Source organism: Homo sapiens, chromosome 14, assembly GCF_000001405.40.
Source record: "Homo sapiens chromosome 14, GRCh38.p14 Primary Assembly".
NCBI lineage: Eukaryota > Metazoa > Chordata > Mammalia > Primates > Hominidae > Homo > Homo sapiens.
In genome coordinates this window covers 57031485-57056667 of record NC_000014.9, presented here as the reverse complement: position 1 = coordinate 57056667, position 25183 = coordinate 57031485, and the positions used below count along the sequence as shown (strand labels likewise).

Here is a 25183-nt window from a genome sequence, read left to right as displayed (position 1 = left end):
CCCCTGCTCCACGGCACCCAGTCCCATCAACCACCCAAGGGCTGAGGAATGCGAGCGCACGGCGCAGGACTGGCAGGCAGCTCCACCTGCAGCCCCGGTGCGGGATCCACTAGGTGAAGCCAGCTGGGCTCCTGAGTCTGGTGGGGACGTGGAGAGTCTTTATATCTAGCTCAGGGATTGTAAATACACCAATCAGCACCCTGTGTTTAGCTCAAGGTTTGTGAGTGCACCAATCGACACTCTATCTAGCTGCTCTGGTGAGGACGTGGAGAACCTTTATGTCTAGCTCAAGGATTGTAAATACACCAATCGGCACTCTGTATCTAGCTCAAGGTTTGTAAACACACCAATCAGCACCCTGTGTTTAGCTCAAGGTTTGTGAATGCACCAATCAACACTCTGTATCTGGCTGCTCTGGTGGGGCCTTGGAGAATCTGTGTGTGGAAACTCTGTATCTAACTAATCTGATGGGGTCGTGGAGAACCTTTGTATCTAGCTCAGGGTTGTAAACGCACCAATCAGCGCCCTGTTAAAACAGGCCACTCAGCTCTACCAATCAGCAGGATGTGGGTGGGGCCAGATAAGAGAATAAAAGCAGGCTGCCCAAGCCAGCATTGGCAACCCGCTGGGGTCCCCTTCACCACTGTGGAAGCTTTGTTCTTTTGCTCTTTGCAATAAATCTTGCTACTGCTCACTCTTTGGGTCCACGCTGCTTTTATGAACTGTAACACTCACCGCGAAGATCTGCAGCTTCACTCCTGAGCCCAGTGAGACCACGAGCCCACCAGGAGGAACGAACGACTCCAGACGCGCCACCTTAAGAGCTGTAACACTCACCGCGAAGGTCTGCAGCTTCACTCCTGAGCCAGCGAGACCACGAACCCACCAGAAGGAAGAAACTCCGAACACATCTGAACATCAGAAGGGACAGACTCCAGGCGCGCCACCTTAAGAGCTGTTAACACTCACCGCGAGGGTCCGCGGCTTCATTCCTGAAATCAGTGAGACCAAGAACCCACCAATTCCGGACACATTCCCTTCACACCTCCCTCTGGTGTCTGAAAACCCAAGAACATTCATTTCCTTACGGAGAGACTCAACAATCCTTCATTGGGATGGGAGAGGGGGCTCGCATCCATCCACTGTCCCCTTCACTGTGAATGAATTGGTTGGTTTGCATTCGCTCACATCTGTAGAACTGGAGGGAACAGGACACAGAAAAGAGTAGGCCAGAGGAACAACTGCCCAGGAGTCAGGGGCAAGAGGAGAACTGTTTCCCCCCAGGGGTGTCTCACCTGGGTCAGAATCACTCATGATGGCCTCAGGGACCAGGAAGTTATGAGCAGAGATCCTTGGTGAGGTCTACACACCACAGTTTTGCCTGAAGACGATCCTTATTTTAGAGAGCCAATTTAAAGTAGGAGGAAAGCAAAAGTAATGTTACTGAATTGGTGGCAGAGAGGAGGAGGCATCAGTAAGTATCAATTTGTTCTCTTCTGAGCAGGAGCAGTTCCCTCCATTTTCAACTGCAACTTTCTCTCTTCTTTGCTTTCCTCCCAGAAGTAGCCCATGGAGGCGACCTGCACATGGACTACACGAGGCAACTAACATTTTTTGTACACTTATTTTATATAAACTCTGTGCTTGGCAATCTGCACACATTGTTTAAGTTAGCCATTTGCAACCCCCTGAAGAAGGTTAGAGGGTGTTACTCTATCTTCATCCTAACATCTCTAGCTGGGGAAACAGTGTTGGAAATTGAGTTAAGAAAATTCACACAAAGCCAAAAATTTAAACCTCACATATGTCTGACTCTAACTCCTGTGTTTTTAAATATTTGTACACTGTCTTCTCTCCCAGATTCCCTCTCTCCATCTTCTCAATTTCATCAGTGCTAGAGAGAAAAATTAAGGAAAAGAAGAAAGAGAAAATGTGGAATTTCTGTTTTATCATCAATTTTGCCACATGTTAATACATCTGCTCATGTGTTTTTCCTACTTAAACCCACCTTTGGCTTTGTATTGCCTACAAAGGAAAGTTCATCCTCCTTAGTCTCTGTTTTCCAAAACACGTACAGTCTGATACCACATCCTTTCCAGATTTATGCCATGTCACCATGTACAACACCAGCCACCTAACTTCTTGCTATCTCCCAAACACACACATGCACCATCATACTTCTGTGCCTTCGCTCATGCTGTTCCTTTTGCCTGAAATTCCCTTTCTTTGTTAATTTGTTTGTCAATTCCACATATATTAAGCTCCTACTTATGTACCAGGCCCTGGAGCTAGAAAGGTGAATACATCCAGGTCTCTAACATTCAGCTTACAGTCTGGTGGGGCACACAAAGAGGTAAAAGGGCAATTATAATACAGTGGGAGTGTGTAAGTTATGACAGCTCACAGGGGAGACCTACCCCAGATTTGGAGGTAGGGAAGCGAGGTTCAGGGAATGATGACTTCTCATAGGAGGTAATTCCTTAGCTGGGACTTGAAAGATGGGAAGGAGGAAGAGGTTTTCCTAGACGTGCATGAAGGAAGGAGGGAACTGGTGAATATTTGAAACTAATTTAAAACTTTCGAAAGTGGATTAATTGACAGCAAGTGAGAGGAGGAACAAATGAAGCTGGGAGGGGCTTTTGGGTCATGTTAAAAATTTTTGGATGTTTAAGTTGAGAAAATGGAAAGCTACTGAAGGGTTTTTCTACTTAAGCGGGAAAGTGACATAATCATATTTGCAGCTTTGGGTATACCAGTCTGAAAATAGCTTAGGGAAGACATCACAGACTTAAATGTTTCCCAGCTTATGAGTGAAGCTGGTCCAGGGTAAGAAAATACATAGGAAAATTCTTCATTTCTTCAAAGAAAAATGTATTCCTCCCATTTTTTAAGAAACGTGGGCCTATTGGTTTGTCTTTTACTTTTTCATTTTTAAGAGATTCAATGAATGATTAAAAGAAATATTTCACTTTCCTCTTAGCTGTAAGAGTATAACAGAAATTACTTAGATTAGTGGCAGTGCTTTACTTGTCACAGTGTTGGGTGGAATACAGTGTAGGGGACTGTGGTGAACTGTGGTGAGCAGGCCCCGTCTAAGAGGAGCAGCCCCCACTTCACTCCAGCTGTCTGTTTTCGTGCAAGAATGTAGGTCAAATCTAGACCTTCTGCTCTTTCAAAGAAATCCAGAGATCAAATCTTAATGTAAAAATCTACTGATTTTAAAAATTGACTGAAAACCAAAAACAAAAACAAGAAGCTTAGAATTGCCAGATTTAGCAAATAAAAGAACAGGATGCCATGTGAAATTCGAATATCAGATAAACAATGAATGCTTCTTGGTGTTAAGTATATTCCAACTATTGCATGAGATATATTAAAGTATGATTTGCCATTGATCTGAAATTGGAATTTAACAGGGTGTAATGTATCTTGGCTGGCAACCCTAGATCAAACAAAATATGCACATGAATCACATTAGGTATGTCAGCCACCAGTTGGCAACTTGTGGTATTGATTGGTGATTCTAGACTTTATCTGCGGAGTGTTGTCTTTTATAGCAAATAAGTCATGTCATCATTTTCATTATGCTAAAATAAAACGTATAGATAGTACAACCTATTTAATCATAATATTTTAAAAGTCAACCTAAGGCCTAATTATAAAGAAGAAATGAAAAGAAAATTATTTCAATATGTGATTGCTTGGTAGCACTACACTAGTAACTGGCAAGACATCTGAGAGTTGTGAAAGACATGTGGGTGCCCCAGGTACTACAGGGCATCTAGCTCCCTGGAACCTGGCTATCAAACACTCACACTGCTTCACAATCTTTGTGATAACAAAAATACTGCCCCCCATTTTCAAAATCTCCCTTAGGTGTGGTACCGTCTTCAGTGATAAGGAGCAGTTAGTGAAAGGATTCACAGGAAAAAGGCAGAGACTGGTACTTGAAGTTGGGAGATCAATTTTAAATAGAAATGGAGCTGGGCGTGGTGGCTCACAACTGTAATCCCAGCCCTTTGGGAGGCTGAGGAAGGAAGATTGCTTGAGGCCAGAAGTAGCTATGATTGTGCCACTGCACTCCAGCCTGGACGACATACAAAGACCCTGTCTCCTGTAGTCCTAGCTACTCAGGAAGCTGAGACAGGAAGATCCCTTGAGCCACGGGTAGCTATGATTGCACCACTGCACTCTAGCCTGGATGGCAGAGCCAGACCCTGTCTGTAAATAAGTAAGTAGCCAGGCACAGTGGCTCATACCTGTAATCCCAGCACTTTGGGAGGTGAAGGTGGGCAGATCACTTGAGGTCAGGAGTTTGAGACCAGCCTGGCCAACACGGTGAAACCCCGTCTCTACTAGAAATACAAAAATTAGCCGGACCTGGTGGTGTGTGTCTGTAATCCCAGCTACTCAGGAGGCTGAGACTGGAGAATGGCTTGAACCCGGGAAGCGGAGGTTGCAGTGAGCCAAGATCACCTCAGTGCACTCCAGCCTGGGCAACAGAGTAAGACCCTGTCTCAAAATAAATAAATAAAGTAGAAATGGCTGGAGAACCAACCAGAAGTAGGAAAAGAAAGGATGAAGGGTCAAGTGGGATCATTCAAATAGGCAAGATGGGAACAGAATTTGTTTTAGAATAAATAAATCCTATTTCTTGAGTTTTAGATTTAGATTTCTGTGTGATACCTAAGAGGAGAGGTCTGTTAGTCTGTGAAATCCGTGAGTGCTGTGGTCTGAGATCGCCATAGAACATTGGGAATTTGCAGCGCATTGTCTGTATGTGATGAAGTTATGGGAATGGATGAGCTTGCTCTCGGAAAGGCTACAGGTAGGAGGCGACGTAGTCCATGAACATAGCCCTGGGAACACCAACTTTCATGAGATGTCCAGCCTTTTTCATGGAGGAATGAAGGAATTCCCAGAATGAAAATGGCAAATCCAGGAAAAAGTGAAGTAACAGAAAGCATGGGAGGAGAAATGGGTGGGACCAACCCTGCAGAGAAGACAGATTCTACGGGGAAGATAAACAAGAGAAGAGTTGAACAATGTGCAGTCAGGAGGTCCCTGATGAGCTGAGTGACTGCAGTTTCAGTGCAGGGGTAGGTGTGGAATTCTTTTTAGAGTTGATGAGAAAATGCAGACAGGGAGCACAGGCCACTTAAAAAGCGGCATGGCTGTGAAGGAGTATGAACTCCTTTCTGCCTTTTAGGGTCCTCCTTATATGAGATCTCTGAAATTTCCTTTACCTTAAGTATCTTTTAGGATGCCTTTGCTAGTAATTAACAGAAAAAAGAACCCAGACTGGCTTAAAAAGTAAAATTCAATAGTGGATTTAGGCTACTGAAAAAGTCCAGCAATAATGTCTGCTTCAGGCATGATTTGATCAAGGCTTTAGATCCAGTTCTCATAATTTTTTCCTATGTGTCTTAGATTTGCCCTCAGATTGACTTCCAAGTTTTTTAAGTTTATTCCACAAATATTTATTGAGCACCTACTACATGCCAAGAACTTTTCTAGGCCCTTGAGATATAGCAGTAAAATAAAACAGACAAAGATTCTTGTCCTTGATGCTGGGTGTGGTGGCATGCACCTGTAGTCCCAGCTTCTTGGGAGGCTAAGGCAAGAAGATTGCTTGAGCCCAGGAATTTAAGGCCAACCTGGGCAACTTGGCAAGACCCCATGTCTAAAAATAAAGATTCATGTCCTTGTGGAGCATATGTTCAAATGGGGAAAGATATCCTGTAAAAATGTATATACATATATATATAGACACATACATAAAATCATAGTATGTGACATGGTTTGGCTGTGTCCCCACCCAAATCTCTCCCATAATTCCCACATGTTGTGAGAGAGACCTGGTGGGAGGTAACTGAATCATGGGGACAGGTCTTTCCCATGCTGTTCTCATGACAGCGAATAAGTCTCACGAGATCTGATGGTTTTATAAAGGGAGTACCCCTACACAGGCACTCTCTTGCCTGCCGCCATGCAAGATGTGACTTTGCTCCTCCTTTGCCTTCTACCGTGATGGTGAGGCATCCCCAGCCATGTGGAACTGTAAGTCCATTAAACCTCTTTTCTTTATAAATTACCCAGTCTCAGGTATGTCTTTATTAGCAGCATGAGAACAGACTAATACAGTATGTTTAATGATGATAAAGTCAATGAAAAAAGAAAAACAGTTCAGAGTACAGAAGATTGATAACATAAGAAGGGGTCAGTTGCAATTTATAGACGGTGGTCAAGAAAGGCTTCACCAAGAAAGTGGCATTTGAGCAGACATGAGGATATGACAGAGTGAGATGCATGAATAGCTGTGGGAAGGGTATTGCAGCCAGAGGAAACAACCAGCACAAAGGTCCCAGACAGGAGCATCCAGCACGTCTGAACAGCCAGGGAGGCCAGTGTAGCTGGGGTGGAATGAGTGAAGGAGTAGTAGTGGGAGATTAGATCAGGGAAGCAATAGAGGCCCAAATTTATGAGCCCAGGGCAAGGGCTTTTCATCAGCAGGGCATTGAGCCCAAGAGTAAATGATACAACTCCAAGTGTAAGAGGATCTCTCTGGCTGCTGTGTTGAAAAGGGACTGTAGGGGAGTGAGAGTGGTATCTGAGAAACCACTCAGGAGGCTCTTTCAATAATCCAGGGAAGAGGTGATAGTGGCTGGGCTGGGGTGGTTGCTGTGGAGGTGATAGACATGGTAGGATTTTGGAAAAGTTTGAACGTAGTGCTAACAGGATTTGTTGACAGACTGGATGAAAGAGAGGACAGAAGAGTCAAGAATCACTCCAAGCATTTCTGCCTAAGCCACTATCTGAGATGGGGAAGGCTGTGGGTAGGAACAGGTTTGGGAGGAAGATCCAGACTTGAGTTTTGGACACGTTAAATTTTAGAAGCCTGTTAGACATCCTGGGGTAGCTGTTAAGTGAGTAGAGGGCTCTAGGAGTCTGCATTTGGAAAAGAAATCTAGACGGGCAATATCTATTTCAGATTTGAAAGCAGACACATAATATTAAAGTCGCAAGACTGAAGGAATCACCAAGGAGCAGAAAAGAAGACCAAAGACTGAGCCATGGATCCCTCAGACACTGAAAGGTCTGGGAGAAGGGTGGACTGGAAAAAGAGACTAAGAAGTCTCATAATAGAAAGAAATTGGAGTGGGAGAGATAGGGCATCTTTCAAACATAAGTCCCAGATTTCCCTCTGGCTGGACCAAATTAGGTTCCTTGAATCAGTCCCTAGTAGACAAAGTCCATTTTTTAACTAATCATTTGAAAAGGTCTTGGTTTGTGCAGAAGGGCTTATACTTATGGGGACTTACCTGTGGAACCTACCCTGGAACTTACCCCCTCCCCGCGGGGGTGGTCAGTTCCTCACAATCCCACCCAGCGGTAAAGCTGAATATTGGGAAGCAATGGATAAAGCAAACCCACCATCTTGCCACACATTTTCCGGGGATCAATTTTTCTCGTGTACCCACAGATCCTTTCTTTCATATTGATAGCTGTATACTTATTACATTAAAAAACAGTTGGCTATCTGTTTACTGATTTCTGCCCAGATTATGAGCTTTTTGAAGAAGAACTGTGTCCTACTCATCTTTGAACCCCAGGACCTAGCCTCAGTGAATATTTGTTGAAGTGAGTTAAATATGAACATGTGAGAGTGTGTAGACATCTGGTTTCTGTGGGTCCTCCTGGGTTACGTCAGGCCTCAAAGTTAAAAGAAAAAATTTTAAACCCTTAGAATAGTTTATGATCCACCTGTAATATGTAATATAACCACATAGACCATCACCTTGTTAAATTGGATGTATGAAGCTATTTCTTAATAGTTGTGGCTGCAAGAACAGTCAGTTCTTAAATAGTTTTGAGACAGAGAAATTTAAAAGAACCCTTTGGTAATTTGGATACACACACACATACACACACAGAGAACTTATAGTTGAGAGTTCATAAAATAGCCTAACGAATCTATACTGTAAGGACCTATAAACTGATTGTATATGCTATGGGCTGGATGTTTATGTCCAGCCCCCTCCAATTCATATGTTGAAACCCTAGCCTCCAATGTGATGGTATTTGGAAGTCAGGCCTTTGGGAGGTAATCAGGGTAAGATGAGTTCCTGAGGGTAAAGTCCTCATGATGGGTTAATGTAGTTATAAAAAGAGGAAAAGAGTACAAAGTTTCAGTTAGATAGGAGGACTAAATTCTTGTGTTCTATTGAGCAGCATAAAGAGTATAGTTAATAATAATGTATTGTATATTTCAAAATAGCTAAAAGAGAAAATGTTAAATGTTCTTACCACAAAGGAATGATAAATATTTGAGGTGATAGATGTGTTAATTAGCCTGATTTGAATATACATCCTGCCACAATGTATTCATGTATCAAAACATCACATTTACTCCATAAATAGATGCAATCATTATTTGTCAATTAAAAAGATGATACTCTTTCATGTTTATTTTTTGAGATGGAGTCTTGCTCTGTTGCCCAGGCTAGAGTGTAGTGGCTCAATCGTGGCTTATTGAAGCTTCAGCCTCCCAGGCTCAAGAGATCCTTCTGCTTCAGTCTCTCTAGTAGCTGGGACCACAGGCACATGTCACCACGCCCAGCTAATTTTTAAAAATATTTTGTAAAGATGGGTCTCACTGTGTTGCCCAGGCTAGTCTTGAACTCCTGAGCTCAAGTGATCCTCCCACCTCAGACTCCCAAAGTGCTGGCATTATAAGACATGAGCCACTATACCCAGCCACAATAAAAATTTTTTAAAAAGAGAAGAAAAGCTATGACTTCCCCTATATGCATGCACCAAGGAAGGCCGTGTAGGGGCATAGGCTGGCAGTCTGATGTTGGACTTGGACTTCCAGCTTCAGAACTGTGAGAAATAAATGTTTGCTAAGCCAACTAGTCTATGGCATTACACTGACTGAACTGACTGAGACAGTATATATAGTTTGTGAGTGCTGATTAAAACTCAAGGAATAATGTCGTCGGTCAAACAAAGGATAGGAAGAAAAGCTTTAAGAGGGAAAAGGAAAAGAAAGGAAAGGAAGGAAAGGAAAATCTTTAAGAGGGAACATAATGCACTTCCTTCTAAACATTGGTTTGGATAGAAAAAGAAAAACAGGAATATGCTCTGCTACAGGTATTTTCTCTATGTCGTTATGATCTTTTGTTGGACATGATTTTTCCCATAGCTTATCTGAATCTATACAGTGAGCTATATTATTAAAGGATTCTAGTTAACTTTGTGCTTGGCCGCAAGTAAAGCAGCCTAGACTTTCTTAGAAGAGAATAGAAATACCAAAATATTTTTTCTGTCTAGTATTTGAGTGAAAAAAAAAGAATGGCAAGACATAAAATAGAACATCCAAAACACTATCAAGTATATTATATTCATTCAGTCTGTCACTGACTTTGTATTTTTTGGAAATATGTTTCCCTTGTTAACTTTTCCCATGGACACACTAGACTATATTTATCCATATGGGTATTTTTGGAAATGTAAGCACTAATGTAACTTCTTTAAATTACAAAAGATCCTGAAGGTTTGTGTGTTTGCTTGTTTGTTTTTAGAAAATGATGGGGATACCTTAGAAACAATCTTTTTGAACATTTGAAGGCATTTGCTACACAAAAATTGTCAGTATTTAAACTTTCCCTTTGAAGCCAAGCTATTTAGTTCTTATAAAAAGCATTGCTTTTTATAAGATAAAAAGAAACATCAGTCACAGCTATGAAATCTCTGAGCTCAACCTGGACAGGGTGCTTGACAGTTCTTGGGTTACTAAGCGAGTCGCCAGTTGTGCTAGGCCAGGCTCTCTTTACAGTGAAATAAAAAAGGGGACACATCTGAAAAACCAGATAATATAATGAATAAGACATTTGGTAAATAAGAGCAATTAAAAATCAAAAACAGCACACATCTGAAAAAACAGATAATAGAGCAGGTAAGACATTAGGTAAATATGACCAAATAATTATGTTGTAAACCTCTACCTGAATCAGGCATCCAGGAGGCAATTCTACATCAAGTACTTTTTTCCCCCTCCCTTTACTAGATCTAGTTAGACTTTTGAAAAATTAAGGTAAACTCCAGAGGTCACAAAGAAGTTGCCTTGTTGTGTTCTCTGGCCTAGAATGAGGCTGGAAATTGGGTGTGCACTTTCAGCTGGACTTTCCTTAGCACAGCCCCCTTCTCTATTTCTGAGGTGACCCAACGAAGAAGAAATGGGACAGAAGAGGGTTTACAGTGTACAAGGCAGATGCCGTGGGAGATCACGTGTTCTCCCTGCTGGACAGACAGGAGACATGAGCTGGCTGTTTGGTTGGTGGGGGAGCGCTGCTTGGTGGTGAGGAGGATGGGTCTGTTTTATGCTGTTATTATTTTCTATTCACTTGCAGGGCTTTTGGATCTCTCTCTCTCTCTCTCTCTTTTTTTTTTTTGTCCTTGAAAATGGCATTAAGTGATTCTGTGTGTGTGCATTTGAGAAAGCCAGTGCAATATCCTATTAATCCGCTGAGCAACTTCAACAACTTGAAAATGATCAGAGCATGGTTGGTGACCGCGTTGGTCGGTTTGTGAGAGCTTTCCTGAGGGGCCACGCAAGTCATTCCATTTAAGGGATCTTCCCTTCTATGGTCACCCATGCCTCCTTTGACCAACAGCTTGGCGGCCTCCCTGGGGTCCATTGTAGCCATCCTTCCAGGACACTGGGTCGGTTCAGGGGGCAATTGTTGCCTTCTTCTCCCTCCAGGGAGCAACTTCTCTTCATAAGGATTCTTTTTCCCAGCAAGCAAAGATGACCTGGAAATTTGATAGTGCCAGAGTTACAAACTATGCTTTCTCAAGAGAGAAATATTACCTTTTAGAAACTAGTTTTTATCCTGCTGGGAAACTGTACTGTGTTGCGGGGATTGTCTCTTATTAGAGCCGTGTGAGCTGGGGGAAGCATGTAGGGCTATCTTCCACTCACCAAAAAGGCTGCTGGAATCGTGTATGACCCTGAAAAGAAACTGCCGTGGTACTTAGTGGGGAGGTAGGGAAAGACAAAAATGTCAACGTAAGCCAGTACATTTCTTGCGCAGAATGAGCCTGCATACTCTTAAACACACCGGGAGAAAAGTTCTCAAGGTTTTGAAACTCCTAGTGATGGTGGAGTTCTTGGCTCACTTCCTAGAGCATTATGAGGCATTATAAACGTCCTTCGAATTCATGCAGTCCCATAAGAACACCACCAAAAAAATTGTTATGGGGATTTTAGTATTTAATCTTCAGGGGGTCCAAAGCCTTTATTTGCCATTTCTCAGTAAAAAAACACAAATCTTTATATTAAGAATAGGGTAGAGGGGATTGGGAAATCATTTTGTAACAAAAAGGTACTACATCAATTAGTCAAATAGTATTCATTGAGCACTTACTATGTGCCAGGCATTGTAGCAGGGGGTGGGGTCATGAGGGTGACTCTGACAAGCCTGGGCCCTATCCTCATGACACTTTTATTCTAGTGGGCAGCAAAGGTGCAGAGCAAGTGTGCTGAGCTAGTTGTGTAACAGAAAATGCGAGGTTAGCTTACAGCCTCCCAATTCAGAGATCTCAAAGAACATCTTGTTGGATTTAGACATGCAGTATCCTGGAAGAGGAATGCAGCCTTACAAATGCTCCTGATTCAACCGGGCGCAGGCTCACGCCTGTAATCCCAGCAAAATAAAGAAAACACAAAAAGAAATGAAGAACAAGAATAGAAAACTGGGAGAAGCACAGGAAGGCTGACAGACATCGTGAAGTGGATGAGGATTTTCCCTGGGGCCCCAAAACCTACTCTTCTCCTGGCAGTTTTAAAACCCAGAAGCCTTCCAAGCCCTTTCATCATTCATCGCATTACCATATATCAAGAGAAGACAAGTCTCCCAAGGAGGGTAAGAAGGGCAAGAGAAGAAAAAGGAGAGATGCTTGGAAGATGATGACAATGATAACTTATTTCTTATTAAGGAGAGGAAAAAAAAGTCTTAAACTGTCAGGCAGCCTCTAATGTGGCTTTCCGTTGTTCATTTGGCCTTTGCGTCCATAACCTTCTGGCAATGTGTTTATTATTTATGATTAAATAAAGTCAGTTTGGGTTTTGCATTTTTAATTTCAGCCATTCCTAGAGTTGCTGGACATCCATTTAGGTTCCCCCTTCCTTCCTTCCTTCCTTCCTTCCTTCCTTCCTTCCTTCCTTCCTTCCTTCCTTCCTTTCTTCCTTCCTTCCTTTCCTTCCTTTCCTTCCTTCCCTCTTTCCTTCCTTCCCTCCTTCCTTCCTTCCTTCCTGTCTTTCTTTCTTCAAGAATATTCATTGGTAGTGCCAGGTACATCCTATTGTATCACAGTGCAAGACACATAATGTCTTAATGTCTGATTGTTCTACTTTTAGTGGTGCTAAAACTAATCCAGGGGCCCAGGTGTTGCCAAACTGATATATCAATTACAACATTCCCCATCAATTTTTCACCTCATGGCTTCCATATTCTTTGATGATCTTTTCATAGATCCATTTTTTTATCATGAATGAATTTCAATTATAATATTACATTTCATCAACCATTATTTTGAATCTCAAACTATCTTAGTAAACTTTTCTAATAGAAATATCCTACATAGTACTATATTGAATTTATAACTGAAATGTTTTATAATTAGGAAATGTGTCCACTACAGAAAATTTGGCATATGTAAAGTATAAATTTGAAATAAAATCACCCCCAATTTTTCCACCAAAAGATAATCATTTCTATGGTTTCAATGTATTCATTTTGATCTTTCTTTCAGACAGCATATTGGAACAAAACAGGAACCACAGTATACTCTGTTTTGAACCCTTTTTGCTCTTAGTAATCTATTTTGGACATCTTTTCATATTAAAAAATACCAGATTGACATCATTACTTTTAATGGCATATTTTAATTTTCCTAAAAATGAAACCTTGGAATGAAAGATGCTAAAAAAATTTAAGCTTTTGATATTTATTTTCAAGACTCCTACTGGAGAGTTTTCCCATCTAAAATGTGTTGTGAGTACTAATTTCTCTACATCTTTGGTAACACTGAATATTATAATTTTTATAGTTTTTGCTAATTTGATACAAAAAATTTTTCTGCCCAGTTATATGTTTTTGATTAATTGCTAGAGACTAAAGTTATTCGTATGTTTGTTATTTATTTGTATTTTTCTTCTATGAATTTTCCATTTATTTATTCTGTCAATTCTTTTATCAGTGTGCTAATACTTTTTTTTCCTATTTGATATTTTATTTTTCTTATTCTGACATTAGGGTATGAGAAGTACAAAAGATCCACAAGTACCAAAAATTCTATATAGCTTTGTGGTAGTTAAAAACATACAAGAGAACAAAACAATTTTTTGAGTAATAGTCATCTCTACAGATCTGAGTGACAGTCCACTTCAAACATCACTGTAAAAGTGGTAAAAAATGATTTCATTGTGATTATGTTAAAATTTTTGATGTCTCTTTCACTTGTTTTAGGAAATCTGTCTTCTGATATTTATACCGGATGGATTCTTTACCTGTATTTTGCTGAAGCCCAATTCCCTGCCTCTTCAGGGCTTCAATGATGGCGCTTTTGTTTTTACAGTCAGCTTGTGATGTTTTGTCCAAAGGAAGATTCTGATAACAACTTCAGCAGCGAGAAAAGCTGGATGTAAATTTATAGTTATTGTCCTTTTCAATGTAAAAAAAAAAGTTGAAAAATACTGAAGACTTTTTCTTAGTGTTAATTTCTCTTCCTACAAGGATTTAATTTCATACTCATGCTGAGGATGAATTACCTTTGATGCGGTTTTTTTTCCAAAGGATTTTTAAAAAGCTTTCTTGAAAAGATGAGTTCTTCTTCCTAGCCCTAGGATTCTGAGTAAAGATGACATATTGGAACAGGAGAAGTCCAGGTTTATCTTTCTACTTTCTTACCTAATAACCTGTTGGACATAGATAATTGAGATCTCCATGGATGTCCAGCAACTCTAGGAATGGCTGAAATTAAAAATGCAAAACCCAAACTGACTTTATTTAATCACAGATAATAAACACATTGCCAGAAGGTTATGGACACAAAGGCCAAATGAACAACGGAAAGCCACATTAGAGGCTGCCTGACAGTTTAAGACTTTTTTTTCCTCTCCTTAATAAGAAATAAGTTATCATTGTCATCATCTTCCAAGCATCTCTCCTTTTTCTTCTCTTGCCCTTCTTACCCTCCTTGGGAGACTTGTCTTCTCTCGATATATGGCAATGCGATGAATGATGAAAGGGCTTGGAGCTTGGAAGGCTTCTGGGTTTTAAAACTGCCAGGAGAAGAGTAGGTTTTGGGGCCCCAGGGAAAATCCTCATCCACTTCACGATGTCTGTCAGCCTTCCTGTGCTTCTCCCAGTTTTCTATTCTTATTCTTCATTTCTTTTTGTGTTTCTTTATTTTCTTGAGGCCACCTGTTGCTTTTTAATGAGGCACAGCCCTTCTTTATATCATGATGGGGGTTCTCATTTGCTGCTTTTATGTAAGGTAGCTTGGATGGCTCTGGGATATCCCCACTCTTCTTGAGTACTTTTATTTTTTATTTTACTCTCTTTTTTCTCTCCTTAACTTCATATTTGTCATCATAGTAGCAGATGAATGGAGATACTGGAGACAGGTCATACACTTCTCTTTCTGGACACTTGTGTCCATAATGGCCTTTTGCATGCAGTGACAGCAATATGCTAAGGCTGATGGTTTTGAAGGGTCTTTGGCTTTTTGGGTGGTCTGGGTTTGGTCGTGAGGTGATATTGCCTCCAGATTTCTGTGCAAGCATCTGTATAGTGGCCTAGCATATGACATTGGTCACACTGTTTATCCCAAGAATGTCTGAAAAGACATGAGTGGTCCAACATCTTAGGCACAGGACAGTATTTGCAAAGGGGGGCTGGACAGGAATACAGGAGGTGTCCTCTCCAGGAGCACAGGAAGCAGCAACGAACTTTTCATGGTAAGGGACAGTTTTTTGATAAATGGCCGTGTTTGTCACAATTTCTACAGATAATGTTTTCATTGGCTGAATAATATCGCTGGGTCCATCTTCCAGGTTATTGGTTATTAGCTATCTGGGCCTCAATGTCTTTGTCACTGATGAACCAGTTTATACCATCTTCTCCTTCAGTAACAGAGTTTTCACATCCCAGAAGGTTGAGAAGGATATCATTATCTTTATCATCTATTTCACATCCCAGTAGCATCCAGCTTTCCACATTATTGCCTTCTGAAATGGTGCTCTCTTCCTCTGCACTTGAACTGACCTCTATAATCATGGCCTCTTGGATTACACCTGATCTCTCTTCAATATCACTCTTGCATTTCTTATCAAACAGCTCATTAGATTGAAGAAAAGCAGAAGGACCATGGGTATTTTCTTGTGCTTGAGCTCTAACATTCTTTCCTTTACATCTATAAATACTATCTTCATCAGACAGTGATGACCTCTGACCCATCTGACAGCTGGATGACCTCACTATCTGAAAGGACAATTAGCTTCTTCTGATTTGGTTTACTACTCGAAGATTCCAAATTCCCAGAGTTCTTTTTTTCATGTTCTTCCTCCCTGATGACATCATCAAGATCTTGGGCATAATAAATTCGGCTATAGAGTTGAAATTCCACCTCACTATCAACACTCAGTTCACTAGATAACTCGTCCCTATAAAGATCATCTTCATATGCTTCTATAGTCTCATAGCCACCAAACATCATAAAAAATCGGTAACTTTGATGTGCTGCAGCTGCAAACCTACTTTTCTTAATAAATTATAATGATGTAATATTCATCATTTATCCATTATATTTCAAATATATTTTGCCAGTTTGTCATTTTAAAAATTTTATTTATGACTTTTTAATGTTCTGAAGTTTTAAATGTTTATGTCATCTATTAAAAATAGTATCTATTATTCTTCTTTGTGATTTGTTCCATGGCGTTAACATTTAATAAGTCCTTCCCCATCTCAAGATCAGTGTAAATATTTGCCCATAATTCCTTCAACAATTTTGGGGTTTTGTTTTCATATTTTACTTTCAATTCCTTCGCCTATGTTGAATTTTTTGTCCATCATTTAACATAAAGATCTGATTGGATTCCACCACCACTGTCCATCCCCCGCATATTCTCATTTTCCCAACCTCCATTGTTTGTTTGAATAATCTACTCCAACTGATATGCTCTTTCTTTCTTTCTTTTTTTTTTTTTTTTTTTTTGGAATTTCGCTCTGTCGCCCAGGCTGGAGTGCAGTGGTGCGATCTCTGCTCACCGCAACCTCGGCCTCCTGGGCTCAAGCGATTCTCCTGCCTCAGCCTCCTGAGTAGCTGGGATGACAGGTGCCCATCATCACGCCTGGCTAATTTTTGTATTTTTAGTAGAGACTGGGTTTCACCATGTTGGCCAGGCTGGTTTCAAACTCCTGACCTCAAATGACCCACCCACTTTGGCCTCCCAAAGTGCTGGGATTACAGGTGTAAGCCACCGTGCCAGCCTGATACGCTTTTATTGCATTAGTTTCTTTACTATCTTTTCTGTAACAATGATCTTTCAGACAGTACCTATACTAGTAATACACATAAATGTTGCAGCTGTGTAAGTTTTAAGATCTGAAGAACTTTCCTTATATTATAACTTCTTTCTTAACTTAAATATCTATTTACTGATGACTCCCAACTTATGTCTGGCTCTAATTTCCAGAGTTGTATGTCTATATATCTATCTATTCAACCTCTCCTCTCAAATGTGTAATAGACATCCATTCATTCATTCAGCAGTATTTATTAAGCACCCACTCTCTTCCAGGCACTGTTCTAGGAGCTTGGAATAAATCAGTGAATCACACAATGATCCCTACCAATTAATTAACAGTTTGATTCTTACAACAGCTTTACGAAGCAGACAAATTATTATTTCTATTGTATTTCACAGAATAGGAAAATGACACACAGAGAGGTTAAATGACTTACTCAGGGTCACACAGCTAGTAGGCAGTGAATCTGGGATTCAAACTCAAGCCATTTCATCCAGAGTCCTTGCCTTTAATCACTTTCTCAAACTCAACATGTCCAAAACAGAAGTATGGATTCCTCTGTCACATTTAGTTCTTAGACTTTCTCCATTTTAATAAATGACTCTACCATTCATAACTACCTGCTTGAGTGAGAAACCTAGGAATCGTTCACGGCTCCCTTTTCCCTCACTCTCCATATTCAGTAGATTAGCAAGTTCTATCAACTTTATTATCAACAAATATATCTCTAATTCCACCACTTCTTACCATCTCTGGTGCTCCAACCTAGACCAAGCATTGTCATCTTCTTCCTGTCCTATTATACCTTCTAAAGATTCTCCCTATTTCTGTTCTTTCCCTTTTCACAGAACTGGCAGTGAAGACTTCAAAAAATATCAGTAACATCCTGTCACTCTCATGATCAAAATACAGTCAAATTATACTATAAACACTTACAGAGAAAAATAGAAATTGCCCCACCCTTCCCTATTCATGGGACCTGTTCCCCAGCAGCAACTGCTCTATATTTTTTTGGCTCTTTCTTCTGTCATTTACATCCATATCTCTAAAGTACATACTAATACAACTAGTTTTAAAATTTCAATTGTGGACACCATCAGTCAATTTCAATGACGTCCTAGTAGTTCAGAGGAATATTTAGCTCTTCTACAGCTACCCACACCCCAAACACACACTTCCTCTTTCTTCCACCAATGTAGGTATATCTCAACTTTTATTATTTTGGTTACATTATTTTGACTATGCAAATATTATTCATACTTCCTTAGTGTACTAGGACTTTACTTCCTATTTTTGTAAAACTTTTTGTCTTACTTCCTTATTATAAAACTTCCTAGGCTTAATAATTGCTTCATTTTTTCTTTGCTTGTTTTTCTTCCCCAGGTACTTAATACTAATTCTTATTCAAACTCTCTGGCAGAACTGTAAATCGCTTCTCAATGTAACCAGGTGTATAGAATAATCTATGAATTCATTTTTTTCCCCTGGAAAGCATCCTCCTAGATCCCTTCTTTCTCCATGATCTGCCATACTACTGTTGTTTTGTGAGTCTGCTTCATGATCTTCCTGGGAATTCTGTTGCTTTTTAACCTGTTTTTAGCTCCTCTTACCTGGATCTCATGTCTTACTCTCATTTGGCTTAAACTCATTTCGAAGGAGTACATTTTCCAGTAGCTTTCTGAGGAAGTAGGCATGAATGATGAAATAAAAATATGCTTCTTGGCCAGGTTCAGTGGCTCATGCCTGAAATCCCAGCACGTTGGGAGGGCAAAAATTAGCTGGGTGTGGTGGCGGGTGCCTGTAATTCCAGCTACTTGGAGGCTGAAGCATGAGAATCTCTTGAACTCGGGAGGCAGAGGTTACAGTGACCTGAGATCGCACACTGCACTCCAGCCTGGGCTACAGAGTGAGACTTTGCCTCAAAAAACAAACAAACAAAAACCAAAAACCGCTTCTTGTAACTCCTCATAATTGATAATTAAGGTAATTTGTTATAACATTCTAGGTTTGACATCATTTTGATTTGAGTCATTATGATTGAGTGTTCTGATGTTCTCCCAATTCTTGATCCTTTATAGCCCTTCTGCTTTTTTTCTATGAGTTTTTAGAAGCTTCTCTTTATTCCTGAAATTCTCGTATTTCACAACATTTTAATCACCCTCAAAGGTTTCTTCATGTCACTGGGTAATTCATTATTTTCTTCTCCCCCAAACCCTGTCCCTGTAGATTTGGGACAAATTTGCTCTCTGTCCCTATAAATTATTTGGCATTTTCTATAATTTTATAAAAATGGAATAATATGTAAAATCACTTCTGTGCCTGGCTTTTTTAGCATAATTATTTTGAGATTTATCAGGTTTTTTTAAATGTTTCAATAGTTTATTTTCATTGATGAGTAGAAGTCAATTACATGGATTTACCACATTTTGCTTATCTCTTCACCTAGTTATGGACACTTGGGCTGTTTCCAGTTTTTGCTATTCATAATAAAGCTGTCATAAGCATTAGTGTACAATTCTTTCATTAGACATATATTTCTTTTTTCATCAGTTAATATTTAGGATTAGAATTGTTTAGTCATATAGTAGGGGCTTCTTTAAATTTTTAAAAAACTGTCAAAAGTTTTCCAAAGTTGTTGTGCTATTTTACATTTTCACTGTCACCGTACAAGATTTCCAATTATTGTATATCCTTGGCATTCTCAGTATTTTCAATTTTAGTGAATTCTAGTGGATATATAGTTCCATCTCACTGTGATTTTAAATTACATTTCTTAGGTAGCTAATTACTTTGGGCATTTATTTGTGTATCTTTTTTTTTTTTTTTTTTTTTTGAGACCGAGTCTCACTCTGTCGCCCAGGCTGGAGTGCAGTGGTGCGATCTTGGCTCACTGCAAGCTCCGCCTCCCGGGTTCACACCATTCTCCTGCCTCAGCCTCCTGAGTAGGTGGGATTACAGGTGTGCACCATCACATCCAGCTAATTTTTGTGTTTTTAGTAGAGGCTGGGTTTCACCATGTTGCCCAGGCTGGTCTTGAACACCTGAACAACAATGGGGAGCACAAGTTCTAATTCCAGAACAATTATATAGCCCTCAAAGTCAACATATGATGCATGAAATGGGGTATGTCCCTGGTATGGGACTGGAAAAAAATTTGCAAGGTTTAAAAAGTTCCCGCCAAAGATTAGGATATCATTTTTGATGGTGGCCATTGTTAAGCCTCCAGAACCTATACCTTTAAAATGGTTAACAGATAAGCCAATTTGGATAGAACAATGGCCACTAAATAAAGAGAAACTGGAGGCTTTAGAGAAATTAGTTAGTGAACAGTTAGAAAACGGGCACATAGCTCCAACATTTTCCCTTTGGAATTCTCCAGTTTTCGTAATTAAGAAAAAATCAGGTAAATGGAGAATGTTAACTGGCTCAAGAGCCATCAATTCAGTTATACAACCTATGGGAGCATTACAGCCAGGATTGTCTTCTCCTGCTATAATTCCAAAAAATTGGACTTTAATAGTCATAGATTTAAAAGACTGTTTCTTTACTATCCCCTTAGCTGAGCAAGACTGAACAGTTTGCATTTACAATTCCTGTGGTAAACAATCTGCAGCCTGCTAAGCGTTTTCATTGTTTTACAGAAGGGTCTAGTAATGGTAAAGCTCCTTATTCTGGCTCAAAAAGTAAAGTTTTCCAGACACCCTATGCTTCAGGGACTACAGATGCCCACCACTATGGCCAGCTAATTTTATTTATTTATTTATTTATTTTATTTTTAGTAGAGACGAGATTTCACCATGTTGGCCAGGCTGGTCTCAAACTCCTGACCTCAAGTGATCCACCTGCCTCGGCCTCCCAAAGTGCTGGTATTACAGGCATGAGCCACTGTGACTGCCCTCTTTTACTAATTCTTAAGATGGGCATATTCATTTGCTAGAGCTGCGATGAGAGAAGGCTTAAACAACAGAAATTTATTTTCTCAGAGTTACGGATGCTAGAGTCCAAGATCAAAGGGTCAGCATGTTTGGTTTCTTCTGAGGATTCTCCTTGGCTTCCAGATGGTTGCCTCTGTGCTGTGTCCTCACATGGTGTCATCCCTTGGTCTGTGTGTTGTGTGCATCCTAATCTCCTCTTCTTATAAGAACACTAGTCATATTGGATTAGGCCCACCATGGGAGCTCATTTTACCTTAATTACCTCTTTAAAGGCCCTATTTCCAAACGCAGTTACTTTCTGAGATTCTGAGGGTTAGGATTTCAACATGTGAATTTTGGGGAAGATGTAATTCAGCCCATAACAATGGGTCTAAATTATTTTATTTTTTATTTTCTTTAAACATGAAGGAATTTGAGGCTATACATTTTTCTCTGACTATAAATTAAACTGTTTTAATATAAAATATTCAATGTGAATCTTTCCCCTTTCCATGCTTTCTAGATAGCATATAATTTCAATTTTAAATTTCTCTTTGATGCTGGGGTTAAGAGAGTGTTTCTTAGCTTCCAAAATGTTTTTTGTCAACATTTTATTACTTACTTCTAATTTTGTTTGTGGCCTGTGAGTGTTCTATGTTTTAATGTTTTTTAAGGGTTTTCTTTGTAGTCAAATGTATATATCATCAATATTTGTACTATTTATAGTCCTACAAAAATTCACACTCTATATCAGTAGGATTGAAATTACATTTGATTTTATTAATCTACTTTATTGTTATATTATTCCATTCCTCTATGTCCTTGCTTATCTTTCTGTGTAGTGAATCTTTCTACTTCTGGAAGAGATGTTTTAAAAATTACAACTATAATTTTATTAGGTTTTTGCATTTCTACAAGCTCTTTTTACATATTCGGTTGCAAAGTTATTTGCTGTGTATGTTTGTGACTATCACATCTCCTCTATAAACTGTCTTTTTAATTGTCTCTATTCGTGTCCTTCTTAAAATGCTACCTGGTACCAGCCTGTATGACGCCACAGTCTCCTAGTTTCTCTCCATGTCTTTGCCCACTCCTTAAATGTACGTGTTCCTCTGTATTCTGATTTCCTCTCCTCCTCCTGTAAGCACAAATAAATATACATCTCTCACCCAAATCTCTCTTCGGAGCTCAAGACTCATACAACTCATTTCTGCCTAGATTGTCGTCTTACATGCAGCACACACAGCTCAAAAGCAAAATTCCCCTCCTTCACCCTGAACCTGCCTTTTCTCTCATTAAAACGTTACTTTTAGATTTTTTTCTTATAAACAAAACATTGCTCAGTTTTCTTTTTCCACTAATCTGATATTACATAATCCAAGCAAACTGCCTAATGCTGTGCCTGACAGGTTGTGAGTTCTCCGAAAAGTTAGCTACTATTATCAATAGAATCCAAGTTTATATCCACTGTCAATTGCCATTTCATGCTTTAGGAGGTACTTTTTTGCCACATTACCACAGTAGGATTGGTTCTTTGGTCTTTTATGAACACAAGAAAGAAACAATTAAATCCCAACTCGCATACTGTGGGATAAAGCATGTCTTGCACTGTGCTACAGTGGGAATCAAGGAATGGGCATGGTTTAGTGCTTCTTTCCAATGGTCCAATAATTTACTTGACTCCATTAGTTGCATTCTTGGGTTCCAGTGACACGACCAATTTAAAATAGTTTTTGAATGAATCAAACAAAACTATAATGAATAGCCTAGTTTTTTTGTTTCTTCTTTGAATCCTAGTTGATGGCAGAGAGCATGTTTACTCGCCGATTGGGTGGTAGATTTGACCACTGTTTAAGAATCAGCTCCAGGAATTTGATCTTGCAGAAAACTTCTGGATATATTAAGACAAATTCTTCTGTTCACTGGTTTTTCATGTCCTTTAGGAGAAACCTCCACCTGGAAACCACTTGAACACCCACCAAGGCACTTGATGAAAACATTAGCATATAGTACATGGCCCAATTAAAATAGAGACTAATAGAAACTGGGAACATGAAGACGTATGCCTCTCATTATGTAAATCCCCACCTCTCACCCTTACCACCAATCACACACATAGCTACTACCACTGAAAACACAGCCTTTCCAACATGGAACAAACCTTGTATCTGAACAGAAACTGCTTTTTAAAATCAGCTAACGATCAACAAATCTGGTCATTGATTATCCTAGGAGAATTTTTCTCCCTTTCTCATATTTTCTGCCTTCTGTCTCATAACGGTTTTCTGTTTTGTCAACCTCACAGCCCCACGGAACTTGAATGCCAACAGCTCTTCATCGATTCACATTAAAGAAAATTAGAAGGAGGAGGAGGAGAAAAGAAAGCCCTGTCACCAAGTTTATTATTCCCAGGGTGGTCAGCTTTCTATTTAAGGGAATATGCCCAAATTTCAGAACTGGTTTAGTTTATGATCTGAAAAACATAGGCAATTATTCACTTGCCTCTTACATATTTGTGTGTCTGGCTGTGACTTTCAATGGAGGGCAATAAAAAGGAATCATTAAGAAGCCTAGTCTAGATGATGTGTTTTCTCTCTCTGAAGAAGAAGAGAGATGGCTTTTGCCTAAGTACCCCAAATTAAATACATAAGCTTTCTACATGGAAGCCTAAATAGCTTATTGAATTAAAAAAGAAATCTTAGAGCTTTACAGTAAAAACACTCTTTTTCCCATTTCTGGAAAAATTATGTTAGTAAAAATTATTTGGCCATAATCTCTCAGACTGTGCAATTTTAATGTAGTGAATAGAAAATTAAATACAATTTTCCACTGCAACTGGCTTTGACACTGAATAAGACATGTCACCATATGTACTGAAGACTCCTCCATATATGTATTAAAGTTTTTATTTATCTGTTTCTTGTGCTGTTTTGACTAGTTCTTCTATTTTGAGGGAATTTAACATTTAAAGGAATATGTGAATATACTCTAGTTTTACATTTATATTTAAAAATAGTTAAAATAGAATTTCTGAATTCAGAAGAGAGAATATCAGTAACCAGGCTGTTTTAAATTTATTTGCTTGATGATGTTATGTAGGTCTTAACATTTTAGGACAGCTTGGCCGGGCACAGTGGCTCACGCCTGTAATCCCAGCACAGTGGCTCATGCCTGTAATCCCAGTGGGAGGCCAAGGCGGGTGGATCACCTGAGGTCAGGAGTTCAAGACCAGCCTGACCAACATGGTGAAACTCCGTCTCTACTAAAAATGCATAAATTAGCCGAGCATGGTGGCAGACGCCACCTTCAAATTATTACCATTGTAAGGCTGAGTTGGGAGGATCACTTGAGCCCAGGAACTTGATGTTACAGTGAGCTTTGATCACTCCACTGCACTCCAGCATGGGTGACAGACTGGAACCCTGTCTCTAAAAACACAAAAAGTAAAAGAAAAAAAAAAAAGAAATCACTTGTTGCAACTGACTGAAGGCCAGCTCAAATGAGCTTTAGAAGAAAAGGAGGTGACTGGCATATGGAACTGGAAGAACACCAGCACAGCTGGATTTAGTAGTCCAGGTGAAGCGCCAAGCACCAAGACCTTCACTCACACTCTCTCCAACTCTCTCTTCTGCTAGTTTCTCCTCTTTTCTGTCAATCTCATGTACTTCTGCTGAAAAAAACAAAACGGACTTACTGGAAATGGCTAGAAAGATGGCTCTGGCTAACCTAAACTGATATCCTTATAGTTTATGAAAATAAGAGAAGAAAAACCTCTTTGTTAACATCCATATAGGCAATTTCATGCAAGGTTGGCACAGCTAGTTTGTTAGCCCCATGAACAATCACTGTGGCTGAAGAATTGGACATAATGAGAATCATTATGATTGACAGCTCTATTAGGACCATATGGTGTGGCCAAAGAGTGCCCTAAAACAGTGGGACTGAATCCTGAGAGCCAATGGTACTCTTTTAAACAATAAACATTTTGTAACGCTCCCTTTTCTATACTGTGTCTGTAAGAATTTTATCAGAAGGAAAGCAGAACCACTGGGATACATATATTCTCTCTTCCTCTCACTGTCTCTCAGTCTCTTTCTCTCTCTCACACACACACACACACACAAACACACACAGCACATGTGGAAAATTGGGGATTTATTGACCTTATGAACTGTGGTATCTGGTGAGAGTCTATATGAGGCTGTTGTGTCTTTAGTGCTAAAACCTCAAGTCCACAGGGCAAGTAGTTGGGAAGCAAAGATGGATATGAAATAAGGAAAGTAGTGATAAACTAGAATCTATGAGGCTGAGCTGGAAACATGAGGATGGACTAGACTCCATATTTGACTTTCACAACCTCCAGGCTTCCAGTTCAACCCTGCAGGCATCCTGCTGAAACTGGTGCTCTTTACCATGAAGCTAAACATGCACCTGGCCCAGGTATCAGGGAAGCTGAAAGAGGAAGTTGCAGGAGCTGGAGTTGCTGTGGGCTCACCAACCTGGCAAGTCAGCAGGTAAGGACCACATATGTGAGATGTGAAAGCACTCCTTTCCCTGTTTCAATCTTCAGAGGATGAGAAAAATAAAGCCGGTTTTTTTTTTCACTTCCATCCTTCAAATTGCTCACAAAAGTCTTTTTTTGTTTTTTTGTTTTGTTTTGTTTTTTGTTTG

At 39.7% G+C, this 25183-nt stretch overlaps 1 long non-coding RNA gene and 1 pseudogene across 1 annotated transcript; one reads left to right on the top strand and one right to left on the bottom strand.

Moving 5' to 3' along the window:
- The first annotated feature begins 616 nt into the window (after nt 1-616).
- On the top strand, nt 617-23430 carry LOC124903324 (uncharacterized). Its single transcript, XR_007064192.1, has 2 exons — nt 617-1474; nt 22818-23430. It is a non-coding gene; the product is annotated as an uncharacterized LOC124903324 (long non-coding RNA).
- Nucleotides 13967-15820, bottom strand: LOC440180 (zinc finger CCHC-type containing 7 pseudogene; annotated as a pseudogene).
- Nucleotides 23431-25183: the final 1753 nt, after the last annotated feature.